This window comes from Homo sapiens, chromosome 11 (assembly GCF_000001405.40).
Source record: "Homo sapiens chromosome 11, GRCh38.p14 Primary Assembly".
Classification (NCBI taxonomy): Eukaryota; Metazoa; Chordata; class Mammalia; order Primates; family Hominidae; genus Homo; species Homo sapiens.
The window spans coordinates 99,814,804-99,830,972 of NC_000011.10; the positions used below are offsets into that span (position 1 = coordinate 99,814,804).

General features: G+C 34.3%; 1 protein-coding gene across 12 annotated transcripts in view; it reads left to right on the forward strand.

Moving 5' to 3' along the window:
* The window catches only part of CNTN5 (contactin 5), a 1,337,937-nt gene that overhangs the window by 793,855 nt on the left and 527,913 nt on the right, over window positions 1–16,169 (forward strand). For 8 of the 12 annotated variants that reach the window (XM_017017926.2, NM_014361.4, NM_001243270.2 and 5 more), the window contains one exon: window positions 4,741–4,962. The exons of the other annotated variants lie outside the window; for them this stretch is intronic. In XM_017017926.2, the coding sequence (XP_016873415.1) occupies window positions 4,741–4,962 (222 nt within the window). The remainder of the gene's footprint in view (window positions 1–4,740; window positions 4,963–16,169) is intronic. 12 annotated transcript variants of the gene reach the window in all.

Sequence of the window (16,169 nt, forward strand, 5' to 3'; positions counted from 1 at the left end):
TATAGAGAACGTCTCCAAACTGAGTGATTATAAGGGAGAGATTTAATTGACTCACAGCTCCATGTGGCTAGCGTGGCCTCAGGAAACTTACAATCATGATGGAAGGCAAAGGGGAGGCAGGCACCTTCTTCACAAGGTGGCAGTAGAGAGAATTGACTGAAGGTGGATCTTGACAAACACTTATAAAACCATCAGCTCTCATGAGAACTCACTATCACAAGAACAGCACGGGGGAAACTGCCCCCCTGACTCATTTACCTCCGTTTGGTTTCTGCCTTCACACCTGGGGATTATGAGGATTACGGAGATTATAATTCAAGATGGGATTTGGGTGGGGACACAAAGTCTAACCATATTAAATAATATAAGATGTACAGAAAAACACACTTAAATGTAGCAAGGGGATGCAGCTATATTCCACCCTCAACAGATTTCTGCATTTGTTAATTTAATTTAGTCTCACAAAGTTGAGCGTTAGATAAAGTCCTATCAATGAAACAACATTTCCCACTTATTTATGCTAATATATTTTCAGAGATGAGAATCCTCAGAACTAAGACTGAGGAGTGGGGAAACTCTGAGGATATGTCATAGAAAAGGGCTGGGCAGCTAAGAGGGCACCAAGTTGGAGAGTTAAAAATATCCCTGAGAGAGGAGGAGACCCCACAATACTGTAAATCAGTTGCACTAAGACCATACGACTGATGAAAGCCACTTTCTAAGGACTGGGCTTATTTGTCAAATAGAATGGAAATGGTAATGCAGGGGGTTCCAGACCATGTCCAGATCTTGAAAAGGCCTCTTCATCCCTTATGTCTGAACTCACTTTTACTGAAATCTGTGTGCAGTGCCCTGTGTGGAGCAGGCAGGAAGCTATGATACTGCTGTGTGCACACCCTCTGCAGGACCATCTTCTCCACACCTAATCCACTTGAATTGATTTAACAAAAGTGGGTCTCTGTTGAGGATGAAACATAACTGAATCCACTTTCTCTGTTGAAATTCAAGTATTGGCATTTCTGTCTATTTCATCTTATTATTCCATCTCTTTTTGTCTAGGATCCCAACTCCTTCAATACTTAAAATAGACTGATTTTAACACCCTTTCAGTTTCTGCACCTTGCATCTATTTCTTCAATTCCCTCCCTCACCGGGTTAGAGTCCGTGGTCCATAACATTATTCACTTCCTTCAGTGAGCCTTCAACTACACTGCCCTTCACCATCAATTATTTTAACAGACTAACCTCTCTAACCCCCAATTTAAATTCAACTATTAATAGACTATAGCTAGAGAACACTGATCTTCAAAACTATTGAATGCTTCCTTGTCTGTATTGAAAGACTTTCGCTTCCTTTCACTTTGTGACATTCCACTTTCCTACTTTTTTCCTTCCCTTTCCAGATTCGAGTAGCTCTGCTTTTCTTCAAAAAAAATGCTAATGTTGGTCAAAATTCCATTTTCAACACCCTATTTCTTATTTCACATACTTCCTTGGCAAGCTTGTCTATTCTCAGTTTCAATAACCATCTATTTGGTTACCATTTCATAATCTCTCTGACGAACCTGCGTCTTCCTTACGTCTGCAGAATCTTAACATCAACATGAATGTCCTGGAGGCACCATAGGCTCTCCATGTGTCTAAAACTGAATTCATGAGCCTTTACCTCAAGCTCTTGCCTTTTCCTTCATTCTTACCTATCTTCTAGTGGAGGCAACCTTGCCTGATTTTTCACTTTTCTTTAGTGCCTCCAATCAAATAAACCAATAATCTTATTTACTATTCCCATACGTATTATCTCCCCATTTCTGACCAATCTTTGCCTATATTACAGCTTTAGACCCTTGAGTCATCTTTATTTGGTCTTGTTCAAATATGGCACTACAGCCAGAGTGATCTAGAACTTACGTTGCTCTCCTTTCAAAGCTGTACCAGTTTAACATGACATGCTAGACGTTTCATCATCGGCACCTTGTTTACTTATTCAGCCTTACATGTCCTCCCACCTCTCTCCCTCATAATACCCTGCGCTCCTATTTTAATCCACCAAGCAGGCCATGGTGCCTTTACTTTCAAGGTTTTTATATATTTTCTTCCCTGTCTAGAGTATCTTTCTTTCCCTACTGAAGACTTGACTGAGCTAATCACTAATGAACTTTCAGGACTCAGTTTAGATAGAATATCCACTGGAAAGCATTTTCTGATGACTTAAAGCTGAATGAGAGTTTTCTCTACCCATGCGGGGAGCCCATAGGTCCTTGAATTTACTTTTATATCACATGATACTAACATTGTATGAATACTGCCTTTTTTCCCCACTAGATCGTAGCTCCTTGAGGGCTAGGGCAGGATTATTCACTTTTGTTTCCCTAGCATTTGGCACCTACTAAGTTGTTATCACATGTTTGTTGAATGAATGCTTGAATGAATGAATGAATCAATTGCCACATTTCTAGTAACAGCTTTGCGTTCACATTAATTGATGAAAAGGGAATCTTTACTGCAACAGATAAAACTGATTACATAACAAAGGAAGACCTGGCGTAGTGCGCTTAGCCAAATTAGCATTTGGCTCATCTCTGTATGGAGTGGCACAAGCCCATTTGTGTACCACTTAGTATTTGGTTAAAATATGTATAAGATTTATAGCCACAATGATGTTCCTGGCCTTTTTAAACCTTACTATGGCCTTTCTACTTTTCAAGTTTTTCATTGATTATTCTTATCTGGCTTTAAGAACTATAAACCACATTATCATACTTCACTGTAATTGTTAATACTAGTCTGGGATAGTTTTTTTTTTTTTTTTTTTTTTTTCCTTTATAAATGAGCAGGGCAGAGAGTTAAAACACAAAGCAATAGATTGCACTGAGAAATGAATACGTTCAGAAACTACAACTACAAACTACCTTAAAGGAAAACTCATTCACTTTTCATTACCTTACACCTCTAGGTGCCAAAACTTGCATTTAATTCCATGTTTTAAAGGAGACTTTATGTCTACCCATAATCTGTTCACATATAGTTTGCCCAAGGGAGGTTAACTCTTTTCAGTTAAAATTGATCCACCTTCATCAGACTTGTGGTTGACCAGCAAAGAGTCAAGGACATGAATCTCTTAACACCTCCTGATGGTCTTGGGCTACACATATCATGCTCATTTTAAGTGTGGAAAACATCTAAAAATATACTTTTTAGAGTTTCAGAGAAATCATATTTACAGCTTCACAGAACAGAAAATATTAAACTTAATTTGATGCTTAACACCTAAAGTGTTATTTTCAAATCATAGAAAAATGCTTTTTGCATTCTAAAATATCTCTGTAAGACAGCATAATTATTCTAAATAATTTTAATTAATTATGAGAAAGCTTACTTACAGTGATACTTTTTTTAATCAAAAATTTAGTTAGCAATGATTATTAAGTTTAAAGGCCAGATACTCTGAACAAAACTACCTTTTTTTTTTTTGAGACAGGGTCTTGCCCTGTTGCCAGTCTGGAGTACAGTGGCATGATCGCAGCTCACTACAGCCTAAACCTCCCAGGCTCAAGCAATCCTCCCAGCTCAGCTTCCCCAGTAACTGGAGCTACAGGCATGTGCCACCACATGTGGCTAACTTTTTGTACTTTTTGTGTAGATGGGGTCTCACTTTATTGCTTTTGCTGGTTTTAAACACCTAGCTGAAGTCATTCTCCCACCTCGGCTTCCCTGAGTGCTGGGATTAAAGGCATGAGCCGACGTGCCTGGCCACAAACTGCCAGAGTCTTAGAAGTATTTCCAAGATCAGCAAATTGTCCAGCTTAATTGATACTGTACATATAAAAAATTTCCAATTCCTTATTTCTCTTTAGAGTTCATCATAATTAGTTTGTATTTTTAAAAATTTGATCCATATACTAAACTTATTGTTTCTTATGGACATAAAGGAAAGTTAGTTCAATCCATTTTAGGCAGGATGCTCAACCTTTCTAACCAAACACCTTAGGAATTAAAATATGAAATTTATCAATAATCAATAAAAATGAAAATTTCATCATTGTTTCCCCACTTAATAGTATTAATCTGTACACATTAGATAATAAAACCTAGAAAATAAATTTCATTCATTTTTTTATGTACCAGAGTGAATTTGACTACTTTTCAAGAACATGAGGTATTACTTAGAGCCTAGTTAAAACACATGTGCTACATTGAACACACCTCATACTACATAATAAATTTTAGTAAATGAAGTTCCTATCTATGTTTGTAGAATATAAGTGAAATGTTGGTTTCCTCACTGCATTTTAATAATAAGGAAAGAACTGATCTATGTGAATGGGTATTGTAATATTAAGGTAAACTTTTAAAAGTTAATTTACAAATTTTCCTGACAAAGTATAAAGCTTGGGCTTTTGACTGTCTTCCCTTCTTTCCTACTTACCTCTCTCTCTCTACTTGCTTTCTTCCTTCCCTTCTGCCATCATTTTTCCTTTTCCCTCTCCTCTCCTCCCCTTCCCTCCCCTCTCCTCCCCTCCCCTCCCCTCCCCTCCTTTCCTTAATATTATAGCTAGTAGAATTTTCAGAAAATATTAAAAAATATAAAAGTAACATTTTTTCACACTCTCACTGTAATCTGAATTTGCTTGCAGCTCCAAAGAAGGTTTTTAGTAATGTCTTCAAAGAAACAATCTTCATAAGAAAAAAATAAACTAGTTTCCTCAAAATTCAGATTTTATTATATTTTTTCTCTTACAGAGTATTCAAAATCTCTTCCTGGTCTCTCCACTTCATATGCTGCTTTGTTAAGAATTAAGAAGAGTTCATCTTCATCTCTCTTTGGTTCCAAAACCAGACCACGATACAGCAGCCCTTCATTAGGAACACTGAGTGCTTCTTCACCCAGCTGGCTAGGGGCAGCTCAGAATTATTATTCCCCCATCAATCTTTATCATTCCTCAGATGCCTTCAAACAAGATGGTAAGTGTCAAAGGAAAATGGCTCCAGATAGAATAAAGGAGGCAAAGAAGACTTATTTAATACTGTTGCAACAGAGATCAAGACTATTCCAGTAGGAGAGAGTGATTGAACTCAACTCTGCTAAAAATGAAAGCAGGAGAGTTTTTAAAGCTGGGGTGAGCTAGTAGAAAACTGGAGGATGTTAGGGGAGATACTGGTAAATGTGACTAGGCCATCTGTGTTTATTGATTGGTGCTTGTTGAAGTTAGGCTACTACCTTTTCATAGAGACTGGGAGATAGAGAACCTGTTTCTTGATGGTTTCATTTCAAATGGAGAGCTCCCAGGCCTTGAGACAGACACTACTGGGTTATAAAAATGACAAGAGCCTGTGTTGGTTGTAAGTTAGTCTTCTTTTCTAAACATCTTTAAAGGATTTGTATGCATTATTATGTAATTGCACTCTATACCAATTATAATTTAGGATTAAGACTAAATACTCTCGTAGAATGAAAGTAAAAATAGACATTTTTGGAAGGCCAATTTGACAGTGAATATCGGAAACATAAAACAGACCTATCCTTCAATCCAGTGGTTTTATTTCTGGAAGTGTATTCTGTGTAAGAAAATAATAAAGAGAGCACGCAAAGATAAGTATATACTTAGCATTACTTATGAATGGAAAATAAGAAAAAATCTATATATCCAACACTAAGATATCAGTTAAATTAAAGACTGCTCTACAGCTATTGGCTTTATAGTTTGAATAACATTTTCTAGATGTTGTCTACCTTTGTCATTTTTGGATCCATCGACAAAATAATGCCTGGTTCATTAACAGCAGGATGAACGGCACCTGTTATTACTAGTCTCTATCCAGTCTATTTTATATAGATATGCCATTCAGTTTTCTCAACACATATGTGAAGTAGATATTGTTACTGCCTTCTATAGAAATGAAAACTCTGGGACAGATAAGTATTTTTCACAAGGTCACACTGCTAATAGGTATCATAGCTAATTTTCATTCACATCAACAATGATTTTAAGACTAGTACACTTAGGCTGCATTTCATTTATGACTGATGAAAGAATAAACATTCAAAGATACATCTCGAAGGAACTAAGATATTGGAAAGATTCTGGGAATGTCAATTATTAGGTTGTGGTGCCAGGTGCAGGCAAACTTATCCTTTGTGATTATACCAATTGTTGCCATGTGCAGCATTGTCTCGTAGTGTTGGCATCTAAGTTGTATGTAAGCATGATGTTAGAACTCCAGAAATGTTTTATTTTCCAAAGTACTTACATTTAATATAAGTTTTTAACTTTCTATTACCTTAAGCCTAATATGAAACATATTTTCTTTAGGCATTATTATCTTGTGGAGTGGCATTAAGGTAGAAAATCAAGTGATCAGAACTGTGATCTACTTGTATAGTCGGTATAATTTTCAGCCAACTAGTGTTCTGCCTCTTTGTTCTCTTGTATCAAATGGAAGTTAAGGTAGTCACAATGGTCAATATAAGTATGAATTCAAATCCATGAAAATGATGAGAACAATAAATATTGGGACATAAGATGGAGCCAGCTGTGACAACAATTCAAGGTGTCTACTATTAATGCTTGTACACCTACTGTGAGCTGATCCTATTTTGGGTAATTAGCAGACAGAAAAGAAAGAAAATCTGGTCAGTTACATATTTCACAGTATTTCAAATATTAAAATAGAATTGTTATTCAGTAAAAGCACAACTCTCTGACACTTTGATTAGACAATTTTTTTTTTCTGGAAGATCATCATTAGGAGTTTATTATTCGATATAATGGCAAGTGACCTGAACATTACTTTTACTGTACCCATAATAATGAGTTTCATCTGTTTCAATAAAGGCAGATGAAACCCAAACAGAAACAACAAAATGAGAAGTAGTAATTCTCTAAAACTGTGCTCCTCAATCTTTACAGATAAAACCCTCATTAAAATAAGACCCCCCTTCAAAGATTGAGGTAGGGCAAGAGAATACCACTTACAAAAAGCTCCCAGGTGATGGTGATGGTGCTGATCTGTGGATGATACTTACTGAGTGGCAAGGCTCTAGGCTGGTAACCAATTTAATATCATTTGGTCCTCTGCTAATCTAGTTTAATCCATATTTTAGAGTATAAGGAAGAATGGATAATCTGAGTATTTTCCAAGTAATCTTCCATAACTACTGTTTTCTCTTCTGAGCATTTTATAAATCTTAGCTAGATGTGACTTTGAGTTCTTTTTCTCTGACAAGAGTCTGACGTATGGCTTTTGTCAGGTAATTCCCTTTAGCCTTAATAGAGAGTAAAGCTGAGGTTGACATGCTCTTACGAAAAATGAGAAAAGTAACAGAGCCTGAATAGAAAGTCATCCCACTCCTGTTCAGAGTTAAGCCAAGAAGTACCCCAGACAGAGCAAAGATTTTTATGAAAAATATAAAGACTCAGCTTACAGAGCAATTTGGGGAAGCAATTCTACTTCCGGATATACAACTTGGAGAAACCTTCCCATACAAGTACGAGGAAATAAAACGCATCTTCACCACAATATGTTTAAGAGTAAAGGTTGGAAACAGATGTCCATCAGAAGGGGAATGGATACGTTGTATTATTTTTATTTAATGGAGAACTAAAACTGTTAAAGTGAATAGAAAGAAAATGGATAGACCTCAAAATAGAGAGTGAACATGGTAAGTTATGGAGTATTATATATAATATGATATCACTTATGTAAAACAATGGAAAAATATATCCTATTTATGGATACACATAAGTGGTATAATTTTAAAACATGAACTTGAGATAGCAGGTTGACTGCAGTGCTTACCACTGCGGACAAAGGGAGAATGAGAGCAGGAAATAAGTACCAGGAGAGGGTATATACATTATCTCAACTTACTGATACTTTATTTCTTGAAAGAAAAAATCTGAAATAAATATAACTCCTGTAGTGACTAGACACTAAAATGTCTCACAGTAATTCTCACTTGGCATTTACAATGTAATCTCTCACTTTATCTGTTGGCTATGGCTATTAACTTGCCTCTGGAGAATAGATTATAAATAAAGTAATGGGATATGACTCCCAACAATGGGTTACAAAAGCCACTGGCTTCCATCTTGTTTGTCTTTTTTGCTTTCTGGCTTGCTCATATTAATGGAAGTCAGCTCGTGCTGAGAGCTGTCCTATTGACAGGCCCACTGGGAGTGGCCTCTGGCCAACAGCCCAAGAGTAAGTGAAGGACTCAGTTCAACACCCCTAAGGAATTTGAATCCTATGAGTAGTCACGTGAGTGAGTTTACACGTGTATCCGTACCTATTCGAACATTGGGATGAGACAGCCTCCCACCTTTTGAAAGACACAGAGCAAGGGTTGAGCCACACCTGCTTCCCTGACCCACGAAGGCTGTGAGGTAATAAACACATAATCTTTGTTCATTTTCTGGGTTTCCTTTCTACTATTTTAACTGTAATTCTATATTTCTGCAGAAAATCATTCTCATAGTTTCATAGCTTTAAAGTTTCCTTTATATGTTTCATCTATTTTAAGTTGCTGTGTCATCTTGTGATTATCTCAACAGGTTGGTATTCTTTTCTAGGAAGCCAGTTCCTACATTCAGCCCAGATTTGTTTATTCAGGTCTTGATTATGCATTCTTCTTTGTTCTCCTTTATATTTTCTACAAGGCCTACTTTTTAGTCCTGTTTGTTATATAAACAGATGCTACAGAGAAAATCTGAAAAAAAAAGGCAAATGCTGCAATTAGAAGAGATATAATTCCAATTGTCCTACTATTTTAAGTGCTCATAGTTTATATTAAATGTATTATTCTTTATTCATTACATTAGAAATTGTCAAATATTGAAAACATAAAGGAAATAATAATTTCATGAAAGTGTCTTGTGACTATATATTAAGTTTATTAAACTTTAATATTTTTCCAAATTTGTTTCAGTATTTTTTGACATAAAATTAAATTTGAGAGTTCTTGAGTATTTTGCTTGGATTGTGTCTCACACTTTCTCCACTCTTAGAGGAATTACTATACTTATTTTGTCATTTACATGCATATATTTATATTTCTATATGTGTGAAGCCTATAAAGTACATGTACTGTTCTTTAAAATTTTTGTGTCAATGATACTGTGTATATCAGTCATGATCCACCTTTTCTGGATCAACATTATATCCTAGAGATTCATGTATCTTGGTATCTTCAGTTCTAAGTTCATTTCATTTCCTGTAAAGCATACCACACTAGGACTCAATTACAGTTTCTTTATTCATTCCCTTTTTGTAAATATTTAGGTTGTTTTAATTTTACATTGTTACATGTCAAATGGATTTTTTCATGCCTCATTGGTAATTGTATTATAAGTATTTTAGGAGTGCAATTTTTATATAAAAGCATTGTAACATTTCCAGATACTGTCAAATTGCTTTCCAAAGTGATTGACACTTCTACCAACATTATTGTATAGGTGTTCGTATTTCTCCACATTGTCACCAACATAAAATTTTTTTGGCAATCTCTTGAGTATAGTATACCATTTTATTGTGGTTTAGTTTGCATTTTCTTGACTAGTGAGGTTGAAATTTCATGTAAATATTGGACATTCTGGTTTTTTCTAATGCATATTTCTTATTCATATATGTTGACTGTTATTTCTGTTAGAATATTTTACTTACATTTAACTGTAGGAAATTTACAAATCAGTTGGTCACTGGTTAAATGCATTGCGGATATATTTTCTCAGAATGTAACTTAACTTTTTACTTTGTCAGTAGTACCTTTTGTTAAACAGAATTTTTTGATTTTGTGTAATGAGATATAGCAATATTTTCCTTTGTAGTCTGTGCTTTTCATGTCCTAAAAAAAACCCTTTTTACCTTAAATTTTTATTTCCTTCCAAATTTAAATTTTGATTTTCATATTTAGGTGTTTAAACCACATGAAATTATTTTTGTATGTAATATGAAGTAATTACCTGATTTTATTTGTTTTCCATTTTTGGAGTGGTATGTATTAACCAATGTCAGTGATCTCCACTGATTTGTGAAACCACTCACTTATATATGTTAAAAATATACTTTAAATCCTTCAGTAACATGGTTTAATTTTTTGGAAAACATTTTTCACATCTTTAAGCTTATTCCTAGATCTCATACAGTTTTTGTCTCCTCGAAAATAATAATATAGTAAGAATAGCATAGTGTTTGTTAAGTTGGTATATAGAGCCCTATCAATCTGTTACTGTTGTCTGTTATTTCTGTTAGTTCTTGCTCATATGGCGTTGTCTAATAGTATGTGTTAGATACTATATTTGGAAAAATTGCTTGTAAAAATAGTTTGTAAAAATTGCTTGTGTGCTTAGGAGGAAAACAGAAAAGGTTTGGTTAAAAGTAGCCAGTATCTGCCAGACTCTTTAATTTCTTTAGGATGTTTTCGCTTTTCCCTTGCTTTACATTAGATAGACTGTTTTCTATATGTAATTCCTCTCTCTTGTATTTTTTTTGCATCATATGCCTATTTCTTTTGTGATTACCATTAACTTAGTCTATAGTGATTATCACTAATGAAATTAAGAAATTTCTCAAGTATAACATTATTTGATAATTTTGTTGTTTCAAACATATGCGTCCTTTAGTGTTTTCTCTTTTACTAATTTTACCTTATTCACAAAAATATGTTTAAAAATCAATACTTAATTATATTTTCTGTAACATCACTATCTATAGTCATAATTTCTTATAATTTTTCTCTGTGTTCACTTTTTGGATGAAGCATATTTTGTGGTAAAAAGGATATCACTGTGACAAACTATCTTAGTCTTTATCTGTCTGAAAATATATTTTGCCATTACTCTTGAGTGATAGATGGTTTTGGAAAGTGTAAAATTTCTAGGTTGATAGTTATGTTCCCTTTGTACTTTAAGTATCTGCTGGCCTCTTTTGTAGCGGGCAAGTTTATCAATCTAGTTGTTATTTCCTTTGTTAATAGACTTCCCTGTGGAAGTTATTTTTTTCTAATGCTTGCCATTTTGTACCTTTACTATGTACTTTCTAAAAGTAAATTTATTTTTGCTTATTCACCCAGCACTTAAGAGACAATTCAAAAGAAAATATAATATAGAAATGTTATAATTTCAGAGAAAATACAACATCTTTCTTTTCAAATGTGCAAAATCCAGCTCTTTTTCTGATTCGTCTGTTCTTCATTTCTACACTTTTTTGTGTTATATATGCTTACTTAGTTTAAGGAAGTCCATTCCTGAATTTGTACTTTGGAGTATCGTAAGCATATTTATTTTAAAGTCCTGATAGATATAAGTGTATTTTATCTGGGATAAGTTCTTATTCCTATTATTGACTTTGGCTTTTTTTTGCAATATAGAATTTTTTATCTATGTTGTAATTTTTGGTTTTCTTTGCAAGTACATGTGGAAAGGAAGTATTTTTATTATGTCTTATAATGTCTTTAAAATGTCTTATAATGACATTTTGAGGCATTACAGTTCTGTTGGGGCTATTGAGATTCAGTCACTTTCCCTGGGAATAGCTTAACTAAGTTCACAGTCAAGAAGCTATATCTGCCTTCTTTCATCTTTGCAAGTCCACACCTTTCAATGTACTGTAGCCTCACATGCTCACAGAAACAGACACACATACGTACACACAAAAGGCATCCAACCTGTTGTTATAGGTATCATGACAGAGGTACAGTATTATTTGGTAACATAGAATAGAGGCATCAAATTTAACCTGTGTTGTATGATCGGGTGAAGCAAAATTGAGGAAGTGATACTGGATCTAAAATATATTGCATGTGTAGAAGTACATTATAGATAAAAGAAATCATGTGTTCAATGGCAAAGGGGTAAGAGAGAACACTCCTATGTTTAAGGAAACTGCACGTTATATATTATAGTTGTAGCAAAGTATGAATGGCTGCAATGAAATTATAAATAGGCTTCTTATTAAGGAGTCTAAAAATTTTATCTGTGTTAACAGCAAGCCTCCATTAATCAGTGGAATCTTTTTAGCAGCAGTTGCCTGTGAGACCTCTGAGCATGCAGATTTAAAATAATAATAAAGTCTCTCTCATGGGAGGAAGGAAGTAAGGGGGGGATCAGAAAGATGCTTTCACATTTATAAAGGAAAAAACTGATAATTATTTCAAGGAAAGCAGTAGTAGCAGAGATAAAGAGAAAATAATAGTTCATCACCCTGTATTCTACTAGAGTCTCTCCACATAGATATATTTGGTCAGAGCAGCTGTGTTCATTGGTTTTTTGCTTTTTGTTTTGTTTTGTTTTTGTTTGTTTTAATGCGAGACAGGGCTTCACTCTGTGGCCCAGGCTGGAGTGCAATGGCCTGATCTTGGCTCACTGCAATCTCTGCCTCCAGGGTTCAAGCGATTCTCTAACGTCAGCCTCTCTGGTAGCTGGAACTACAGGCACACACTACCACACTCAGCTAATTTTTGTGTTTTTTGGTAGAGATAGGGTTTCACCATGTTGTCCAGGCTGGTCTCGAGCTCCTGAGCTCAGGCGATCCACGCACCTTGACCTCCCAAAGTGCTGGGATTACAAGCATGAGCCACTGTGCCCAGCCCATTCATTGGTTCTTTTTAAGTTTTATTATGTCTAATTGTCTTCTGTGTGTCCTGAAATGTTTTCAGCATTATAACAGCAATAGCCTGAATCCATTATAGAATTCCAACCATGTGGGACTAAATTAAAAGGTAAAATTTAAAACAAGACTAGACTAAATTGTTAGAGTAAATTCCAGAAGAAACATGAGCAGCATATAGTGATAACACATATTTTTGTTAGGTCTGTTTTGGCCCAGAAACATTTTCATAGAGACAAAGTGTATATCTGTAATAACTTACACATAGCTTTGTTTCCAATATTTTAACAAATATTTTTAGAGGCTTATTAACAGATTGGCTCTAAAAAGTAGCTTGAATGGCTCCTTTATACAATTACTTTACCTCTCTATAGTATAATGTTAACAGTAATCAGAATGCTTTCTGAATGTTTGTGACGCAAATTTTTACGCAGCTCTCTCGACTATTTTTCTTTGATCGGTCAATAACATATGTAGAATAGGATTACTACTGTGAACATAAAACACTATCTGTACAAGTTTATTAAACAGAGATGTACTTTTTACATTTTTTCTGTAGGAGATATTGGCCATCTACTGTGTGCAAGCTGTACATTAACTCATCACAAGAGAGTTATTGTTTTAATCTCTAAAGTTTTGAAAGTATTTGATAAGTATGATTGTATAGCACATTCATATGTATTATACTTTCTATTTGAAATAGAATAAAATAATAATAGTTATATAGATCTTCAGAGATATGTACAATGATTTTGGTCAAGTACTAAATCAGTAATGTGAATAGCTCATTATAAGAGTAATTTGTGAAAAAAAACTTTATGAGCCTTTATATAATGGCTACTGCTTCTTTGTAAACTAATGATAGCATTCTGTCTTAGTCCATTTTGTGATTCTGTTACAGTATGCCACAGGCTGGGTAATTTAAAATGAACAGAAATGTGTTGGCTCACAATTCTGGAGGCAGAGAAGTCTGATACAAAGTGCTAGAATCTGGTGGGGACATTCGTGCTGTGTCATCATATGGTGAAGATGGAAGGGCAGAGACAGTGAGAGCAAGAATGGATAATGCAATTGCAACAATAATGGCCTAACCACCTCTTAAAGTCCCACCTCTTAATGCTGTTACAATATCAATTAACTTTTAATATAAATTTTAAAGGGAAGCACCTTGAAATCATAGCCGATACCCTATGCTATTTTATTAAATAGAAAGTTAATTATCAATGAATATGAAATAGTTTTTGTTTACACATGCATAATCATGGAAGCTTTTATCCAAATTTAAGTAAGATACATGGAAAACTGAAAGAACCTTTCATATATTATTTTACTACACTCAAGAGAATTTACATTATTAAAATCATGTATCTTTATCTTCAGTGGTCATGTTGATGATGTATTTTAGTCACAGATATTAAATTTGATTATAGTAGTTGTCTTAAACAATGACAAATCCCATCTAAATGTGAGCTTTTGTATAAAATATTCCCATATTCATGGAATGTATCTGTACTTGCTATATTCTATTTCCAGCGAGAATTAGAAAACATCATGTCTGATTTCACTTTATTATTTATCATAGTAGTTAGATCATTTTAGCAACAAAAGCTATTCCATTTAGAGCAAATTTAGTGATTATGTTGTGATGTTTAAAAAGTGTGATTTACAAAAAAAATAAGGAAGCTTTTGGTTATATTTTAATTAGCTCTGTTCTTTTGAAGATATTCCCTGGTGATATACTTAAAGAAGCATCAAAATTTTTAGTGATCTGAAATGATGAAAATACATATTCTAATCTACTTAAAAATATTTGGATAGAGGTTAATCTCATAATTTGCTATACATATGTCCACATTTAGGAAGTACAGAAAAAGGCTGCATTCAGAATTACTGTGTTGCATGACGATGAAAACATGGTTGTGAATATTGTGGACTGGTCCATACTAGGCAGAGAATTCACATCACATGTTATACTTTGGTCATCCCCAGGCTTTATGTTTGAAAATAATCAAGAAAGGCACAGTAGTCAGTCACTGATACTTGATTGAGGTGAAGAGATACACATAGTCAATGAATAAAAACTTCTGAGCTAGTCTCATAAAATAAAGAAGAGAAATGGAGCAGTACCTGGAAAGGTGAGTGCTGCTCATTGGCGTTGAGCAACCAGAAAAGTCCTCAGTATCTACTCTGTTTTCAACCCGATACTGTTATTTTGGATAATAGCTTTGATCTCTTGAAATTGTGTCAATGCAAATGTTTCATAGACCTAAGAGGTATAATGTGGTTTAAAAAGGAACAACTGAGTTGTTAATAATTACTCTAAAGTAGTTATTTGAGTACAAAGAGTGACATTTAAGTGATTTAAAAAATTGACCAAGGTTTAAAGTAAAAATATGCAAGGTAACATAGGTTAATTGAAAGCTCTTATGAGTTAACACCTCAGACACATGCAGGATATATGCTTTCGGGGGACATAGGCAAGGATTATTAACCAGAGCTGACACTATACCTGTTCCTCCCTCTATAAATATAAACTGATCCTTGATTTCATCTGTTTTTATTGTTGTTATGATTTTAGTAGGAGTAAACTTAATTAAGTGTAGGGTGCATTTCATTCTTCTATTTGTGATGAGATGGTTAGGTTAAGATATTTTATTTTTGCAGAGAGGCAGTCTGGATTAGGAGTGATTCAAATTAGATAGGTCAAACTTTTTTCGGGGGCGGGGAGCATGTTCTTCTGTTTGTCCTGATTCAGAGACTACAGTGCTGTTTTTGATGGCGGAAATGGTGGTCCTTAGAGGAAGCAAATTATTTTTCTACTAAGGCTAAGCACATAATTTTGCTCTCTTTAATTCCCTCAATGGTAAACACAATCTGCACTTTATAAACCCTCTGTGTCTACGCAAGCTTTTAAAATTTTTAGCACTGTCTTCTGACAATTGGATGATTCCTGCATTTACAAATTTGTGGCCTTATGTCTTCAGTACTTTTGGCTAAATTTTATCATGAACATGATTTATTAACAGATTTGACTTGGCACATGGGCAATGGCATCCTGACTCAAAGCAACCCCTTTGGTGACAATTTTCTGTTGTTTCCTCAAAATACTCTTTGCTGATAAATTGTTTGAGAGACACAAGCACAAAATGTGATCTTTTATGAAAATAAGAATTCTCTCTTGGAGGGGGAAATTGTATTTTATTTGGATGACACACTTCTAAATAAAATACATCATGTCAGTTTCCCCAATTTAAAAATTGAGACCATATTCTAATAATAACTTTACAGTCTTATGACCATTCATCAAAACTTTATGACTTTATTCTGCTATTGTAGTCTTAATTTTAAAGCCATTTATTATTTTATACTTAAATGCTTTTTTACCAATTTAAGTATATGTGGTGTGAGCAAATACCATTTCATAGTCTCCTCTTTATTCTCTTTCAGCACTTACAGCAGTGCAAGGTTACTGGGAGCTTAACAAATATTAAATAAGCAGGAACCTATTTGAGGACTGCTTCATTTTTCTTGAAATCTATAGGCTGAATTTCTATACCATGATAGTA